Here is a 17,588-nt window from a genome sequence, read left to right as displayed (position 1 = left end):
TACCACCATGCTCCGCTCACATATTATTTTTTGGTGAGATGGGATCTCACTGTTTTTCCCAAGCTGGTCTCGAACTCATGGCCCCAAGTGATCCTCTTGCCTTGGCCTCCTAAAATGCTGGAATTACAGGTGTGAGCCACCATGCCTGGCCTACATTATTCTTTTTTTAATTCCTGCATAATAATCTCATTTACTTCATCTTGCTCCCAGTGATACAGCAGTTCAGGTCCAGTAAAGAGAAAGTTAAGAACCGGTTTACCAGCACTCCGCAAGATTCATCCCAGAGTCTTCATGGACCTTATCCGTGGGAGGAGAAAAGTTATATTAACTGGGAAACAGGCAAAGCCTGAAACACAAGATGATGACAGTTAACATTTTTAGGAGCTTCCTGGCCCTGATCTACACATTTTCCATGCATCTCATGTAAAAACTTTGTGTGAAGATCAACATTCATTTAATCTCCATTATAACCCTCTGGAGTGTAGACACATTTATCCTTGCTTCACAGATGAAGAAACTGAGGCACAGAGAAGTCAAAATCTTGCCCAAGATCAGGCAGCCAGTGGGGGAGCCTTGATTCATACTGGGGGAGTCCAGAGCCAAAGCCTATGTGTTTACTACTTTTATGGTGTTGTTTGTTTGTTTGTTTGTTTTGAGATGGAGTCTCATTCTGTCGCCCAGGCTGGAGTGCTGTGGCACAATCTTGGCTCACTGCAACTTCCGCCTCTCTGGTTCAAGTGATTCTCCTGCCTCAGCCTCCCAAGTAGCTGGGATTACAGGCGCCCGCCACCACGCCCGGCTAATTTTGTATTTTTAGTAGAGACAGGGTTTCACCATGTTAGTCAGGCTGGTCTCAAACTTCTTACATCAGGTGATCTGCCCACCTCGGCCTCCCAAAGTTCTGGGATTACAGGCATGAGCCACCGTGCCTGGCCCTTTATGGTGTTTTTAATGAGCCATTTGTAAATGCTCAAACATTACCCCACTTTTCATTTTTTTTAACATTTGCCTGGTGCCAGATACAGTATTGGACATGGGAAGCAGAAAAGTCCATATCAGATGCTGTAAACCTAGTGATTTAAATAAAGCCTGGGGTTGAGATAAACTGAGTTTGAAGCCTGGTTCTGCAACATACCAACTATATGACCTTGAGCAGGTGACTTAGTGTCTCCAAGTCCCAATCTCCACGTGTAGGTGGAGGATGACTTTTTACCTCATATGGTTCTAGTGAGAGGTGAATGATGTCATACGTGTGCAGTGCTTGGCACGACATCCAGCACACAATAAGCCTGCAATAAAAGGAAGCTGCGGTAATCACAGACCACAGGTTTATGTCCAGGGAGCTCTGTGTGAGGCTGGGAGACTGGCATCAACAGATAATGACCGTATGGAGGGGTAAGAACAGAAGACGGAGTACCCAGTTCTTCCTAAGGGAGTTGGGGAGGGTTCTATTGAGGAGGTGACATTTGAACAGAGTCTTAAAAGGCAAATAAGAATTTTCCAAGCAGAGAAGGGAAAAGGGGGCTTTCCAGTGGAGGAAAAAGTGCATCCTAAAGCATTATAGGTAGGAGCAAGCATGTAACTGAACGGAAATACCAGAAGACGCCCACAAGAAGTGTGATCACACCTTTGCATTTGTGATTGCCTGTTTTCTCCCGGTAAATTAAACTGCATACCTGGGGGCAGGTGCAGGGAGAGGGAGCAGAATGCAATGTTTTCAGAGTCTTGGAGAACAGAGGATCAGACCGGATAACCTTTGAACTCCAAAATCCTGCCTTTCTATCTTTTGGGTCCGTGACCGCCGCACCATTTATAATCAGGTAGGACCATCCACAGCATCAAATCACAGCTGAACCTGGACTCTCTTAATAATTGGCTCAGGCCGGACATGCTTGCAGGTTGGGCTCCATGGACCAAGGCCTGTTTCCCTGATGCTGTGAGCGCCCTCTGCTGGTTCACTGCCGTTCCACCCTCTGCCTCGTTAAACCTGACAGGCCTGGAATTGAAGCCTGACCTCTAAGGAAAGGCCCTTAGAGGTCATCTCATTCAGGCCCTTTGGTTTTCATTTGGAGCTACTGAGATTCAGATAAGGGAAATGACTAGCCCAAGGTCACACAGTAGCCTGGGACTAGAGCCCATGGCTTCTGGGCCCTGGGCCAGTGAGTGTATTCGTCATGGCACTGATGGAACACAGCTGCCACCAACACAGGCTCCCCACCCAAGCCAGCCTCCCAAACTCCCCATGCAAGCTAGCCTCCCAAGGCCTGCTTCCTGGGCTGTTGCTTCAAGTGGAGAAACCCGAGGTCGTGGTCCCGCGCAGGACTTCCAGTCGTTCTTCTGGGGAGAACAGCAGTGATCCCAAGCAAGGACACAGGCACAGGGATCTCCCTCTTGCTCCTTCACTCGTTTGCTTGGGTCACTTCACCCCCTGAGCCTTAGTTTTCTCGTCTGTAAAAATGGTGATCATCACATGCTACTCACATAGATTTATGGTGAGGATTTTTTAAAAGAACATATAGAAAGCAACTGCCATGATATGCTGTCTCTTCCTATTGTATTTGCGGAATATTTTTTCTTACCAAAAGCTAAAAAGTGAAAGAGAGGTTAGGAATGTGGGCAATGGGGGAAGTTCTGTGATAACTAGCTGTGTGGCCTTAGGCAGGTCACTTTACTTCTCTGAATTTCCATTTCCGCCTTTAGAAAATGCAGGAAACGTTAGTACGTTCCTCCAGGGGCTGCTGTGAGGACTGAGTTTGCTAACACCTGCCCTGGAGCAGTTCCTGGCCTGTGTGGTCCGGGTGCAGTAGTGACAGCTGCCCTTTCTGTTGTGAAGATACTGTCATTGTTATCCTCTTCGGTCGGGAGCTAAGATGTTACTGAACAGGTGGTCCGAAGATTGCTTCTGCCCTTTTTCCTGCTTCCTTTCTCTCTCAGATCACCTCCTCCTGTTCCCTTCCATCCTCACCAACCTGACCATGAAATTTTAAAAGTGTAGATTTTAAAAGAAAGCCAAAGTGGCCCTGAGAAGAGGCTGGGAGGGTCCACAGAGTCTGAGCTGAATCACTGTGAATTTCTGACCCTCCACCCCAAAGATGTATTTAGGACAGAATGTGTTGGCTTCAATCATGAGCCCCTGGTCTCTCTCAATGCTGCCTATGCAGCTAGCCCCTGCTACTTTGGTCCCAGCAGGGTGGCCAAAGCCAGCAAAGAATCTGTGTGTGTTTTTCCTGCTCCCATCCCACCCAATCTAGGAATTTGGCAGGACGAGGGCTCCTCAAGCCCCCTCCAGCCCCCTCCTCCTCAGAGTACAGGGGGAAGCTGGTAAATTCAGTTCATACTGGACCTTTGGACCAGACCACAGACACCTGCAGGCCCAGCAACGCCTTTCTGTTGTCAGCGAGGGAGGGCACATGGTCCTGGGATGCCTCTCTTGTCCAAAGGCTGCCCCAGACAACTTGGCATTGTTCAGAGCCCTTTGTCTACACCTGCTTCCCCACCACCACCACCCTCATTTCTCTGCTGTGCCTTTGTTGGTGGTTTGCACAGATCCTGAGCACCTGCTGTTCACCAGTCACCATGATAGTCAACATTCACCTTTCTCATTCACTGGTGATCTTCACCGCCATCCTGTGTGGAAGGTGTTGTCATCCGTGTTAGACATATGAGAAAAATTTAAGGCTCAGAGTGATAAAGACACTTTCCTAGAGCCACACAGTTTGACTAGAGCAGAGTGAAGACCTATCCCCAGGGAAGGCTTCCTAGAGCAATTCAAGATTAAGCTGGAGCTTAAAGTCTGAGTTTGATTTTAAGGAGGGGTGCAAAGAGGTGATGGCCTTCCAGGCAAGAGAGACAACGTAAGCAAAGGGTGAAGGGAAGGATGTCCTTCATGGTCACGGGGGTGATGAGGAGGCAGTTACGGTCTGAAATCAGAGTGACTGGAGCAGGTGGCCCAGCAAGGGGGCAGTCCCCAGCTGCAGTCCCAGGCTAGGATGCCCCATCTCTTACCTGATTGACACACCCACCTTTTTGGCTGGTCTCCTGCCTCCCAAGCCAAGAATCTATTCTTAGAACTGGTTGATTTTTTTAATCCTTAATATCAGGTATGGAAGAAATGTCTCATTATGCTCCTTAAATGAAATTAGCCCAGACTCAGAGCTCCCCAGCATCCCTATCTGGTAGGAAATTCAATCCCAGCCATCACTGGAATGACTCTGACCCACTGCTGTGACCCCCATGCCAGGGATGTTTCAAGGAAACCACACTGATTATAGCTGAGATACCCCAGCCCCACTGAAGAGCCCCTCTGGGTCTGCAGACTCTGTGCCTTCTGTCGGGAGGACGCCGTGTGGGGTGCAGCGGAAGCCCTGCAGGCTGAGATCCAGCCCTCTCTATGCACTCAGTGCCACCCACCCACACACCAGGCACCAGTCATGAAACTGATGGGCTCTGTCACCTTCCCAGGCCCGGAGACCCCCTCCCCTTCCTCACACCCCCACCTCCCTGACAAAGAGACACCCGCCCCCAGGTGCTCCAGCTTTTACAAAACAAAGACTGGAAGGATAGCTCCTCCAGGAACTTGGCCTTTGGTCCTGCAGCCAAGCCGCCTCTCCCAAGGGAATATAGGTCTGTCTTACCTCTCTGGAAAGAAGGGGAGGGAAAAGGAAAAAATTCCAAGTGAGCGGTTCACCCCCTTTCCACACTCCCCTTTTAGACTACATTTCTTTCTAGTCCTTGAATGTGTCCTGCTTTGTGTCAATTCCAGGCCCGTCCACATGCCCTCCTTCTACCTGGAGCACCCCACCCCCTCCTGTCTCATCCCACGGCCTCTCACCCCCACTCCTCTTTCACATCTCACCAGAGATGGCCCTTCCTGGGTACCAAACGTCTCCTGAGTCCTCTGCCTCCTTAGGGGTCTGGCTGGCACTCCCAGGGCACCCTGCTCGTCTCCCCGCACACGGGTCACCTGTGTCACCATTGCCTTTTCTTCTTACCTACATCCCCCATGAGATGCTTGTCGTTCATTGTATTCCCAGGGTCCCACACGTAGCCTGAACATAGCAGGTGTTTAGTAAACGGGTTGAACAAATGAATGGTCCAATCCCTGAATCAGACTCAAATGAAAAATGGACAACTGTTGCCCGAGCCCCTCAGCAGGCTGGGCCTACCCTGCACTTTTCATCTTCCCTTCCCTGGGGTCCCTGCCATGCCCGCACCCACTTCTCCCACTCAGAGAAGAGGAGGGATGGAAGGGAAGTCATTTGTCTGGGCACATCCCAAGCAGAGAACACTCAGACCCTGTGTTTGGGATCCAGAACACTCAAGTTTGCAGTCTGCTCAGACGTGAGGACAGATGGCTGGACAGTGGACAGCTGGGCAAGGAGGGTAGGCAGCTTGGCAGGACGGAAATAGCAGTGAACTAAGCATTGGGAGTCCTGGGCTCAGAGCCTATTCATTCCACGAGTTTGCTGCACGCATCAGTCTGGGTTCTGTGGTTGCCAGCAACAGAAGAGGACTCTGAGTAACTTAGGCAGAAAAGATATTTATTAGAAGGCTTTGGGGTATGATATAAATACTGAGTTCTGATTCTGGGCTGTCTGTGTAGCAAGAGGCAAGCAGGGCACCAGGGGAGGAGAAAGGTGACTCCCAGAAGGAAATCAGGATTTTAACTACCTGAAAGCAAATTGTTGGCACACTGTGTGACCTGAGACTAGTCACTTAATCTCTCTTTGCCCCGTTTTCCCAGCTGGATGATCTGAAGCTGCCCTCTCTCCTTCATTTATATCACCAGCTTGCTTTTTGCTGAGAAAGCTTCCTGCCCTGGAAGATGGCACCCTTCCCCATCCAGACACCTTGGGAATGAATTATGAGGGAGCCAGGTGAGTGAGCGTTTACGCCGTCCCCCTGCAACCCGCCCACTGAGGAGGCCAAGCCTTCTCCATCTGGATGCTCTGGGACACGTGACCCATTCTCATGAGGTGTTCAGCCTGATCATTCCTTTTCCATGAAACCAGCATGCCCTCTGCCCCTGCCTGCTGAACGTGCTGATGAAAATCTGGATGGCATTATGGGCCTCTTCCTGGCTATGGTTTGGCCATCTTCTTTAATTGGGATGCTCCTAGCTGGAGTCTGCCTTCCTAGAGCCCCTAAAGCTACCAACCCTGAGACCCTGCCACTACCCTGCATTTGGCCTTTAAGGTGTACATCAACAGGCTCAGGCCCTGTGCTAAACACCTGGGATGCAGAGGTGGTTGAGGGGGTGAGGATGCTCCAGAGTCGGAAGTTGGTGGGAGAGGCAGGTGCATACACAGCTAACTATAGCAGCAGAACAAAGTAAGAGACAAAGGGACATATGAACCAGGTGTGTGGGGGAGCCCAGAAGTGGGAGGACGCAGTTCTTCCTGAGAGATCAGGGAGTGCTCCGTGGAAGACGCACCGCCTGAGTCGCACCTTGGAGAATGAGTAAGATTTGACAAAAGGGGAAAAGGATCTTCCAGGCTGAGGGAACAGCACAAACAAGGCTCGAAGGGAGGAATGGACAGGTTTGATTCAGCGAATAGAGATGTCAGGTGGGGTTGGAGCTTTAAGAGGGTGGTAGGAGCTCCACGTTGACAGTGAGGGGTATTTACGGGGTACCAGGAGCACAAAGCCCAGGATAGAGGGCATGTCTGCCTGGGCTTGGCTCAGCCTCACACCCAGGAATCCTGGCTTCAGCATCCCAGTTCCCCCTTGCTCCTCACCGACCTTGGAAGCAGGCTCAGGCTCCCTGATTGGCTCAGCAAACCAGCCAGCTCTTTCTCTGCATAAGTCCTGGGCAAAGCTGGGACTTCATGTTAGGAGACTCCAGGATGTCTCCTAATAGCACCCCCCATCCCCCACTCTACCCCCCAGGCAGAGGGGCGGTGCCTTTGTTAGAACACTTCACCCAGCCCACGGCAGCAGCTGTTCTGTATCTTCTGCACTGGCCGTGAACTTCTAGAAAATGGGGTGGGTGGTCTAGGCTGGATCTCCAGCACCCAGCACTGGTGGCGTAGCTGCACAACGCATTACCTTCACACATACGAACGAGCAGAGGAAGGTGATGACCTTCAAGTTACAACAGGCTTGGAGTCTGACCACCATATTTTCATAAGTGAGGCCTCAGACCCAGAGCGCAGAAAGGATTGCCCAAAACCACAAGCGTGATGGGAGGAGAGTGGAAACAGAGCAGTTTGGTTCACAGGAGCACTACTCACAAATAGCCAAAAGGTAGAAACAAGCCAAATGTTCAACTGATGAATAGATAAATAAAACATCGTCTGTCCTACAGTAGAATATTATTCAGCCTTGAAAAGGAATCCATGAAAAGGAATGAAGTACTGATGTATGCTACGGACTTGCTAAGTGCAAGAAGCCAAACACAAAAGCACAAAAGGCTACATATTTTATGATTCCATTTATATGAAATATCCAGAATAGGCAAACCCATAGAGACAGAAAGCAAATAAGCCGTTGCCAGGGGCTGTGGGGAGGAGGACAGGGAGTGACTCCTTAATGAGTACAGGATTTCCTTTTGGGGTGACAAAAATATTCTGGAAGCAGATCATTATGATGGTTGCACAACATTATGAATGTATTAAATGCCACTGAATTGTACCCTTTAAAATGGTCAAAATGTTGAATTTTATGCTATGGGAATTTTAGCACAGTAAAAAGAGTAGTTTCAGACCAGATCGGACGCTACCAGCTGGGTCTAAAGTCCATTCCTTAAACGTAAGCTGCTGCTCCCCCACTTCGTGTTACAGACCTACCCAGCCAGACCAGGTGTGAGAGAGCCAGCATCACTCTCAGTGCAGGGAAGCCACAGGGAAGCCACATGATCAAGTGGAAGAGGGCTTCCCCCGCCACCCCAGGAGGCAGGATTCCTGTCTTCTAGGCTGCTTCTTGCCCACGTGCCTCTGCTGAGGCCTAGCCCCCATCTGCTGCTCCATCCCACTGACCAGCCTACTTCTGATGGCACCAGATGTTCCACACATCTTGGGCCTCCATGCCTTGCTCTTTCTATTTGCTCTACCCAAGAAATCCTTTTCCCAACCCCCCATTCACCTAAAAACATATTTTAAAAACCAGTCCCTGGCCGGGCGCGGTGGCTCACGCCTGTAATCCCAGTACTTTGGGAGGCTGAGGCAAGCAGGATCACCTGAAGTCAGGAGTTTGAGACCAGCCTGACTAATACGGTGAAACCTCGTATCTACTAAAAATACAAAAATTAGCTGGGCATAGTGGCAGGCACCTGTAATCCCAGCTACTGGGAGGCTGAGGCAGGAGAATCACTTGAACCGGGGAGGTAGAGGTTGCAGTGAGCTGAGATAATGCCTCTGCACTCCAGCCTGGGCAACAGAGTGAGACTCCGTCTCAAAAATTAATTAATTAATTAATTTAAAAAAAAACCAGCTCCTGTCTCCCCCTTGGAGAAGACTTCCTCTTCCCCTTGCCCCTCCCACAAATGAGCAGAGCCTTCCCCAGGATGGTCACATGCATACATCAATTAAAGCAGGCATCAGGGTACAGTCGTGTCTGCATGTCTGTCTCCCTGAGAAGACTGGGAGCCTGCAAGGAGGGGCCTGGATTATTCATCACTGTATTCCTAGGGCAGCTCCAGGCCTTGCTCACAGGAGGTGCTCAGCACACGCCTGTTGAATGCGACGATGGCTTTGGGAAGCTACTTTCACTCCGGGACATCCTCCATCAGTGAAGTGGGGGCAGGCTGGGTGATTTCCAAGTCCCTTCATCCCTGGTGGTCTCTGGTTATAAGGGAAGCAGTGGTGGGGGCAGCCCAGCAAGTGGCTGCTGTTGTCACAGGCCAGTGTTCTGTTCCTGTTGCCTGGCTGATAGAAGTGGGGAAGGAGAGAGCAGGAGCCTTAGCAATCCAATAAAAGCAGCTATTTCTGCTCTTGGTGGGGAGGGAGGAAGGCAGCGCCCAGAGACTGGGTTCCCCATCCAGCCTGAATGGGCCATGTATTTTCTTTGGAAAGCTAATTAAACCCTCCTCTGGACAGTCTAGACACGCAGGCTGTGGCTGGGGTTGCCTGGAGTCCTTCGACTACAGGGAAGAGCAGCAGAGGCTCTTGCTCCATTTTCCTTTGCAGTCAAGAGGTGCTACTCGTTCTGCTTTTCTGGTTATGAAATTAGTCATTTTCTAGGAAGCTTATTTATAGAGTCCACTGCACACATGAAGCACTGAGCTATTCTGAACACAGCTTGGGGCCTGAGAGGCTTAAGGTGTGAAAGCAGGTGTGAGTCACACATGGGTCCCCTTCCAGAGGTATCTGGATACTGTGCCTTTCTGTACCCAGCCAGGGGTCAGCCCTCATGGGCTGCCATCCAGCTAGGTGCTCGTTAGGGTAAGGAAAGAACAAGTTTAGGATTGGAAGGTTGGGGGTGGGTGCTCTCAAACACAATCCCTGTGGCCACCACCAACTCAGTATAAAATGTGGGGCAAGTCAGACCCCATTCTCTGGCTCAGTTTCTCCTCTGTAAAATGAGAGGCCTTCCAGATCTGTGATTCTCTGACTTCTGTGGACAACAGCTGTGGAGGAGAGCTCCCAGCTACTTAGCAAAGACCCGTCCACAAAGCAGCTCAGATGATGGCTGTGTTTGAGATTCCTAATGTTTTCTCAAGAACGTCAGGTCAACATTTACTTATTCCATAAGTGTTTATTTATTGAACATCCTACTACGAACCAGGCACTGTGCGAGGCTTTGAAGATACAATGGTAAATAAAACAGAAATAGTGGACCCTGCCTTCATGAAAGCCACAGTCTAATGATGGAGACAGATGTTGAATAATGGCATATATTACAGTGACATTTCTAACCGTGTCAAGTGCATACCATGTGAGAGAAAAGCATGTGGAAGGTGCTGTGAGGAAAGAGCCTTCCCAGTGTGGCTGGAGTGCAGAGGTCAAGAGGGAGAGGGACTTAGGGTAAGCCTGGAGGGATCCACAGGGACCAGACCACCCAACATCTATGAACTATGCCAAAGGATTTTTCTTTGTTCTAAGTACAATAAGGATGCCATGAAAATATTTTTTCAAGAAAGGTTATGTGATAAACGTTGAGTTCTGAGGAATTGATTCTAGCTCCTCTCTTCTGGAGAAGCGTTCACCATGCCACTTTCCATTGCCTGGGGCAGAGGGGACTTCCACATCCAGTTGTGCAGTTTGTAAACTGCACAGATTTTCTGTGCCATAAGCACTGGAGCCATGTGGAGAATGTTTTGGAGGCCAGCCCGAGTGGATGCCAGCAACCAGTTAAAATATTGCCACAGCAATCTAGGCAAGAGATGATGGTGGCTGGGACCAAGATGGGGAGGGAGAAATGTGGAGGGACTCCAGAGACATTTAAAGAATGCACTTAAAGTTACCTTGAAGGAAGTGACCTCCTCTCTGCAGGAGTGCTGGGCTCTAGGACTTGTGATTCTCAGAGACCCTGGCAATTGGGTTGAGGAAAAAAATAAAATGATATAATGCCAGTTGAAAAAGAAGATATCAGAGGGAGAAGGGCCACCCTGAACCTGACCTCTCTGCCCTTAATTATTTAAAATCTGGAATTGGGCCTGAAACTGGCCCTAGGGCCAGTCCAAGAAGCAGGATAGCAGGACTTGGGGGCAGAGAAGCAGCTGAGCCTCTGGAATTCCTGAAAGTATGCTAGCAAGGCTATGTCAAAGGTTCTTTTGGTTGCCAGTTTCAGAAATCACATCCCACTGGCGTAAGCTAAAATGTGGGGATTTATTGGAAGGATCCACGGCCATCTTATGGTCTTGAAGGGCATATTGTCCAAGACTCAGTACAGATGGGAACAAGGCAGCTCTCAGGCCCTCAGCAGCAGGTCTTCTCTCCAGGGCACTGTGGCTACCATGATTCAGCACCAGCAAAATGCATCAGAATGCATTTTCAGTGTGCAAGGGAGAGGATCTGATTGACCCAGGCTGGTTTGTGTGTTCAGCCTTGGATCAGTCATCAGCTACTGCCAAGGGTCAGAGACATGAAAGGCAGACAAGGCCACTGGAGCCCACGCTGCATTTCAGGCCATTCCCAGGGTAGGGGACCCCCTGTGAGTCAAGTGGTTGCCCTCAAGATATGTCTACTCTCAAGATGCTTCATGGGGTCTAGCTGATCTCCAGCAACATTTTTCCAGCTTGCCAGGTAAAGGAGAAAAACTAGACCCCCATACTCTCCTATAAGGTGCCCTAATAGGCTAGAAAGAGGGTTCTCTGATTTCAGGAAGGAAACATTTAGACTATACAAAACATGTATGTAACTACTTTTTCTAGCTATTCTGGAGAAGAGTTCTGCATACCACTTTTCACTGCCTGGGGCAGAGGGGACTTGCATATCTTGGAGAGCTGGACACAGGATTGTGGGTTACTCAGAGCCCTCTTCTTGTCCACCCATGGTTCAAAACTACTGGAACTAGGAGACAGAATGGCACAACAGCGAGAGCATGAGCCTGGAGTCCTAGGTCATAATTTCAAACTCATCTCTATTCTATTGAGCTGTGTGACCTTGGGCAAGTTACTTAACCTCTCTGAGCCTGTTTAATGATCCCTCATTCATGAGGTCATGGTGAGGATTTAATGTGATAAAGTTTGCAAAGTGCTTGCGTATAGTAAATCCTCCTACTGTAGAGGTGATGATGATGGTGATGATGATGATGATGGTTGTGATGATACTGCTGCCACTGATTCCACAAGGAAGACACCTGCAAAATTCTGCTCCTGCCTCTGCAGCTTGACCCCTCAACAGGCTGGTATTTTCCTCAGGTCCCTTTGATGGGGTGGGGTTATTCAAAGGGATACAGAATACAGGAGAGGGAGCCTTCTTATCTTTGCTCAGGGTTTTTGTCTTGATCCTGGCTCAACAGCATATTCTTACCTTTTCCATCCTGCTGCAGGAGTGAGAGAGAGAACCACGCTGCTGATGACTCCGAGGGAGGGGCCCTGGACATGTGCTGCAGTGAGAGGCTACCGGGTGAGTCTTCTCAGCACCCAGCTCCTCCCAGACCTCAGAATGGAGAGACAATGCCCCGGCTGAAGCTGGGGCTGGAGTAAAGCCTAGCTAGCTGTGAACTTGCGCAAGAATATCCATGCAGCTGCTCCATAGCTCTTCGTTTAAATGGGGACTTGTTTTTCTAATCCCTGATGCCTTCTGACCTGTTATCACTTGGAGCTGCTCTAGGCTCACATGGAGGGAAGAGCAGGCAATTGAAGGTGTGCTAGGAAGTGAAAAGAAGGACGAAGAGCTGAGGAGTACAGGGCTCCTAGGGAATGACCACTGACCATTCAGGGCTGGGCTGACTTCAAGAGGTAAGGGTAGGAAGCAAAACCTGAAGGCAGCATGAGCCAAGGATGGGGTGGGGGATGTGGAGAACTACCTGACCTCCCTGTTGAGAAGCCCGGCTTGAGGGTGAAACTGTGCTGCTTGAGTCCAGTTGACCACAGTTGCAGGGAGCCAAGCCATTGCAGCCACCGTGGAGATATTACCAAGGCACTCTTGCCCACAGGGTGGCAGCTCGTCCCAGTTGTAGCCCCATGACCCACGCCATGATAAACAGCCTCAGAAGGAAGAAAAAGAAGGGGTGGGGGGAGAGTTTTACATTTTTTTATAAGTTTTTATTGTTCTTTTCCTTCTTATAACAAAAGGTTAACTGTCAAAATATTAGAAAATAAATACAAATAAAAAAAGAAAAATCGCCATAATCCTGTAACATAGCATATATTTTCATATCTCTCCTTCTGAACATTTTGTTAGAAGACAAGTCTTTTGGGCCAGGTGCGGTGGCTCATGCCTGTAATCCCAGCACTTTGGGAGGCCAAGGCGGGCAGATCACGAGGTCAGGAGATCGAGACCATCCTGGCTAACATGGTGAAACTCCGTCTCTACTAAAAATACAAAAAATTAGCCAGGCGTGGTGGCGGGCGCCTGTAGTCCCAGCTACTTGGGAGGCTGAGGCAGGAGGATGGCGTGAACCCAGAGGGCAGAGCTTGCAGTGAGCCGAGATCGCGCCACTGCACTCCAGCCTGGGCGACAGAGTAAGACTCCGTCTCCAAAAAAACAAAACAAAACAAAACAAAACAAAGACAAGTCTTTTGAACTCTAACGTTGAAATTCCAAACCTGTAGCTTTTCAGAGACCTCATGATTGGCAAGGAACCTTAGAATGGAGTCTTCACGTGATACTCTTTAAGATAGACATTGGAAACAACCAGGTATGAGTCTAAAGCGATGACTCTTCAAAATAAGTGGTATTTTATTCACACCACACTCAGTGCCCCAGCTCCTGAGGAAGCCCTTTGATGCAGTTCATACCTTAACCAGTAGGGGGTGCCATTGCTCAAAACACTTGGGACAGCCTGTTGAGACGGTCTAAGATGGGACCGTCTGTCTAGAAGAGAATTCTCTGAAAAGATGTGAGAACTTCCTGAATATCTGAATGGCTGTCTTGCGGAAGGGGCAGCAGATCTATTCTGTGTATCTTAGGATGACGTAAGCCCAAGGCATTGAAATTAAAAACAGGCCTTTGGCCCATAGACGCAGAACTCTCTGACTCTAAAAGTGGTCCAGTCATAGAACTCAATAATTCCAGAGGAAGAAATGCGTGTTCCGTCACAGGAGGCATTCAAGTACTAGATAGATAGACAATGGAGAGGAAATTTCCACAATGGATGGGAGGTCCAGATGACATCAGAAGTCCCCTTCAACTATTAAACAGTTCTGTGATTCAGATATGAGTCATAGAATTCGGAGATGACTCTACAATCAGGGATGGCACCACTGACTAGAAGAAATCTGCAGAAAATAGGACAGGATGAATAGGAGTCCAGAGAGTAGCACGGTGTGGAGGAAGAAAGAGCATGGGATTTGGCGTTTGAGTCCGCCTGTTCTGCTTCAGGCTGTGTGTTTATGCACAAGTCACTTAACCTTGCTGGAGCTCCAGTCCCTCATCTGTGAGCAGAAACAATAGCAATATGAATATTTATCCTCACAAGTGTCCTGGGGGAATAAATAAATGTAACCACTCAGTCATTCACTCAAGTACTTATTGAGCACCTACTAGGTCTCAGGTACTAGGTGCTAGATATATAGAGGTAAATAAAACAGACATAGTCCCTTCCCTAAGGAAAGTTCATGGACAACTTCAGCTCTGAGCTGCTTCTGCAAAATGGGATGAAGCCGCAGCAGAGAGGCTGCAGTAATAAGCATAATAGGTTAAATCCCAATGTTCTCTCCCATTTCTCCCCAAAAGCAAGCAACCAGTGTAGAATAGAAGAGTTTTGGTCATGGAATATCCTAGGAAATCAGTGTCATTTGCTACCCCTTCTTACAGATGAGAGGACCAAGGCCCAGGGAGCTTAGGCAGTCTGTCCAAGGTCACTTAGCTGGTAGAGGGAGGATTCACTCCAGGCAGTCTCTCTCAGTAGCCCGTGTCGTCACCGCTACCTTGTTCTGCCTCTGTTGTCCCCATGGAGCCACTGTCATCTTCTGGCACCCTGTGGACTGAGGCAGAAAGAGTTTAGGTGCGTTTGTTCCAGACAGGAGTTTGGAGGAGGTAGACAACGTCCCTGTGCCTGTCCCTATCTGTGTCCTTCCTCTGGGAAGTCCTGCTTGCAGAGGCCGAGCAAGTTGTGTGACCCTCTAGACTCCCACGATGCTGTCCTGATAGGGGATTGCAGTAATTATTTGCCTCCTCCATGGGGTCATGAGCTCTCTGAAGGCAAGGACCTCTCTGTTTCATTTCTGCATCCTCCATGTCCAGCATGTATTCACTCATTTCTTCATTCTGTCACTACTGATTGAGCACCTACATGTGCTGGGCACTGTTGTAAGCACTAGAGATTGAACAGAAATCCAAACTGAAAACAGTTCCCACCCTCCCAGGACAGTATTATGTGCTAGTCAAGAACAGGGACTCTGGACCTCAGCTTGGCCCCACCACTTACCAGTAGATGATCATGGACAAGCTACTGAATCTTTCTGGACCCCCCATTCACAATATAGCAAGAACAATATTCACTGCTGTGCAGAGTTGTTAGAGGATTCAGTGAATTAACAGAAAGCTTAGAACAGTGCCTGGCATATAGCAAATGCTGTACAGACATTTGCTATTAAGGAAAAATAGACAACAAATAAAATAAGTAAGTCATGCCACATAGTATGGTTAATAGTAGTAAGTGCTATGAAGACAATTAAAGCCATGAAGAGGGGGATGGGAAAGAACTGGGGAATGGTTTGACATTGTGAATAGGGTAAATTCACATTGAATTTGTGGAAATCTACTCTACACCAGAGCCTGGTGTAGAGTAGACTTCCACAAATGTTTGTCAAGGACACTGACCTGTACTGCAACTTGGACATAAAAGGAAATGGGAGTTTGTAGGCCAAGAGAGTTGGAGTGTTAGGCCTTTAGAAGGAGCCCATGAGCACTGCAGGCAATTGCATAATGATGGTATAAAAATCCAGCCCTCAAGTACTCTTTCCACTCTCTGTCTTACCCAGAGGCGAGGCAGAGTGAGGGCCAGCCATGCCTGGTGGCTCATTCGTTCCCACACCCACCTTCAGATGGGGGCAACATGGCCAACACTCCGAGCCACCACGATCACCCAGATCTGAGCCAACACAGGACAGGTCATACAGTCCCATCAGAGCTTTCTTGGTGGAAACGTCCTCAGCATCACCAACACTCCCTGGGAGCTCCCCCCAATGCCCCAGAGCCAGGCATGCTGCCTCACAGCCCCTGGGACACCCCCCACATGTGCTCTCGCACACTCGTGTTTGTGCTCACTTGTCATAGCCACATGCTCCCCGATGCACATGCATGTTCCCACGCACAGTCACCCGGGCACGTGGCCTGCCTCTGTCTCACACAGCCCTGCAGGGGCGGACGCACACCTCCAGGCTCACACACCTGCATGCCTTCCTCTTGCACACTCACCTCTCTCAGCTCCATCCCTCCATCCCGCGGCTTCCACTCTGCATGCTTCCTGGTGATGTGCTTGCTCTCTCATTCCCTCCTTAGGTGTCTTTCTCTTTCTCCCACTACTGTACCCCTTCTTCACGCACACTCTTGAAAATGACTAGGCAGACTCCTTTTCTCCCTCTCCATTCTCTGTCCTCTTCTCAGGCTCTCAGTCATGCCCAGCTCCCCGGTACTGTGGGGGCAGTGAGTGTCTACCCCACTGCCTTCCCCACCCCTGTGCACATGTGCACACATGTATTTTTCTTCTCCCTCATGCACACACCCTTTTTCATGTGGTCACCCTCCTCTTCTCTTTCACTCTTCCTTTCTTGCTCACTTCATTTGCTCACAGTCACCCAAACACTTTGGTACATTCAAACTCACAATCTCTCTTCTTCTATGTGTAGGTGTTCACATTTGCAAGACACCAGGTGGCACTGCTAATGTTGGGGACTCCACTCCTTCCCCCATCCAGCACCAGTACAGGCCTAGCCCAGCATAGTCCTAGCTCCCAGCAGCTGCCGCGGAGGTACAAGGTAGAAGAAGGAGGTAGATAAAGCAGCAGTAGGTGCCAGTGGGGGCCAGCACATGGAATAGAGCAACATCACCAGGTGTTGCTCTCAGCAGCATCATCATGCAGACTCGTGGGCAGGCCTGCAGGGACCAAGGTCAGACTGCCAATAAAGACCCTCGCAGTATACCACCCCTGCTCAGTCCTGCACTGCAAGGGCCATTGCTTGCGTGCATGCATGTGGGCAGGCCAGTCTGTATGTTCAAGCTTGGTCCACACTCCACCCTAATAGCTACTCCTTGGCCACCCCTCAAACCTGAAGATGCGTAAGCAGGAGACAGTGTCTACCCTCACAGGGATGTACCTGAGCAAGAGACCCATGCAGGCTTCAAGCCATTTGGGCAGGAAATCCTGAAGTCCTAGTAGTTAGAGTGTATCCTGGAAAGGGGAACATGGACACCAGCTGCTAACAGACTCTAGTTGAGTATATCTCCTGAGCCCTATGGACTTCTCTGCTCATGGGGAGTGCCATGGACAGAAGAGACGGGGCACAGGGCCCAGGTCTAAGGACAACGCTGCTCTTGGGAACAAAGTACTCCTGGAGCCTTCCTGCGGGCAGCTGGCTGGAGCCATGACAATCCCTACCAACCTGAGATTTCAGTGTGTCATGATTAGCTGGCTTTATGCAAGGTCATGAGTATGCTGAAGGCCTGAGTAGGCCATTGCACTTTTGGTAGGAACAACTGGCCTCTTGGGCTGGTGATTCTGAGACCTACTCTTCACCTTAGATCCTGATGTCTTGCAACCTGTCCCCAACCCAGCCCTAGGCACTCTGCTCTGTATCATTGTGGGTATTAAGTGGACCCTTCCTTCGGGCCAAGGACAAGGTCTAGGTCTCAGCAAGAGGCCACTGCCCATCCCGAGTGCCACTTTTTAAAGTAAAGGAGCTGGAGGCCTGAATCAAGGAAAGCTTTGTCACCCTAATCCTGCAGCGCCTATCTCTGACCAGCAGGAAAGAACAAGTCATAGCTTTCATAGCCTTCCTACCATGCCACAGATGAGGTCTTGGACCAGTAGCCAACAAG

At 49.6% G+C, this 17,588-nt stretch overlaps 1 protein-coding gene across 11 annotated transcripts in view, besides 7 other annotated features; it reads left to right on the top strand.

The window, feature by feature from the left end:
• Positions 1 to 17,588, top strand: part of PTPN5 (protein tyrosine phosphatase non-receptor type 5) — a 64,794-nt gene that overhangs the window by 14,907 nt on the left and 32,299 nt on the right. For 4 of the 11 annotated variants that reach the window (XM_017018437.2, XM_017018434.3, NM_001039970.2 and 1 more), the window contains exons 2-3: positions 5,744 to 5,876; positions 11,932 to 12,008. In XM_017018437.2, the coding sequence (XP_016873926.1) occupies positions 5,857 to 5,876; positions 11,932 to 12,008 (97 nt within the window). In that variant the 5' untranslated portion in view covers positions 5,744 to 5,856. The remainder of the gene's footprint in view (positions 1 to 5,743; positions 5,877 to 11,931; positions 12,009 to 17,588) is intronic. The other 7 variants (XM_017018439.2, XM_017018436.2, NM_001278239.2 and 4 more) reach the window with 2 other exon arrangements.
• Positions 1,839 to 2,133: an enhancer, noted in NCBI's record as "tiled region #5421; K562 Activating DNase matched - State 12:CtcfO". NCBI's record gives its function as "activates a minimal TATA promoter and a strong SV40 promoter by Sharpr-MPRA in K562 cells {active_cell/tissue: K562}" and the evidence as "EXISTENCE:reporter gene assay evidence [ECO:0000049][PMID:27701403]".
• Positions 6,304 to 6,803: an enhancer, noted in NCBI's record as "H3K4me1 hESC enhancer chr11:18792559-18793058 (GRCh37/hg19 assembly coordinates)". NCBI's record gives its function as "activates a minimal SCP1, AML or CMV promoter by ChIP-STARR-seq in primed H9 embryonic stem cells {active_cell/tissue: H9 hESC(primed)}" and the evidence as "EXISTENCE:reporter gene assay evidence [ECO:0000049][PMID:30033119]".
• Positions 6,804 to 7,305: an enhancer, noted in NCBI's record as "H3K4me1 hESC enhancer chr11:18792057-18792558 (GRCh37/hg19 assembly coordinates)". NCBI's record gives its function as "activates a minimal SCP1, AML or CMV promoter by ChIP-STARR-seq in primed H9 embryonic stem cells {active_cell/tissue: H9 hESC(primed)}" and the evidence as "EXISTENCE:reporter gene assay evidence [ECO:0000049][PMID:30033119]".
• Positions 7,138 to 7,187: a silencer, noted in NCBI's record as "silent region_3194". NCBI's record gives its function as "represses an Ori minimal core promoter by ATAC-STARR-seq in GM12878 lymphoblastoid cells {active_cell/tissue: GM12878}" and the evidence as "EXISTENCE:reporter gene assay evidence [ECO:0000049][PMID:35858748]".
• Positions 7,557 to 7,606: an enhancer, noted in NCBI's record as "active region_4512". NCBI's record gives its function as "activates an Ori minimal core promoter by ATAC-STARR-seq in GM12878 lymphoblastoid cells {active_cell/tissue: GM12878}" and the evidence as "EXISTENCE:reporter gene assay evidence [ECO:0000049][PMID:35858748]".
• Positions 15,305 to 15,805: an enhancer, noted in NCBI's record as "H3K4me1 hESC enhancer chr11:18783557-18784057 (GRCh37/hg19 assembly coordinates)". NCBI's record gives its function as "activates a minimal SCP1, AML or CMV promoter by ChIP-STARR-seq in primed H9 embryonic stem cells {active_cell/tissue: H9 hESC(primed)}" and the evidence as "EXISTENCE:reporter gene assay evidence [ECO:0000049][PMID:30033119]".
• Positions 15,806 to 16,306: an enhancer, noted in NCBI's record as "H3K4me1 hESC enhancer chr11:18783056-18783556 (GRCh37/hg19 assembly coordinates)". NCBI's record gives its function as "activates a minimal SCP1, AML or CMV promoter by ChIP-STARR-seq in naive H9 embryonic stem cells {active_cell/tissue: H9 hESC(naive)}" and the evidence as "EXISTENCE:reporter gene assay evidence [ECO:0000049][PMID:30033119]".

The sequence above is a fragment of the Homo sapiens genome, chromosome 11, assembly GCF_000001405.40.
Source record: "Homo sapiens chromosome 11, GRCh38.p14 Primary Assembly".
NCBI lineage: Eukaryota > Metazoa > Chordata > Mammalia > Primates > Hominidae > Homo > Homo sapiens.
The sequence above is the reverse complement of the archived record's forward strand: the minus strand, read 5'-3'. Positions and strand labels throughout refer to the sequence as shown.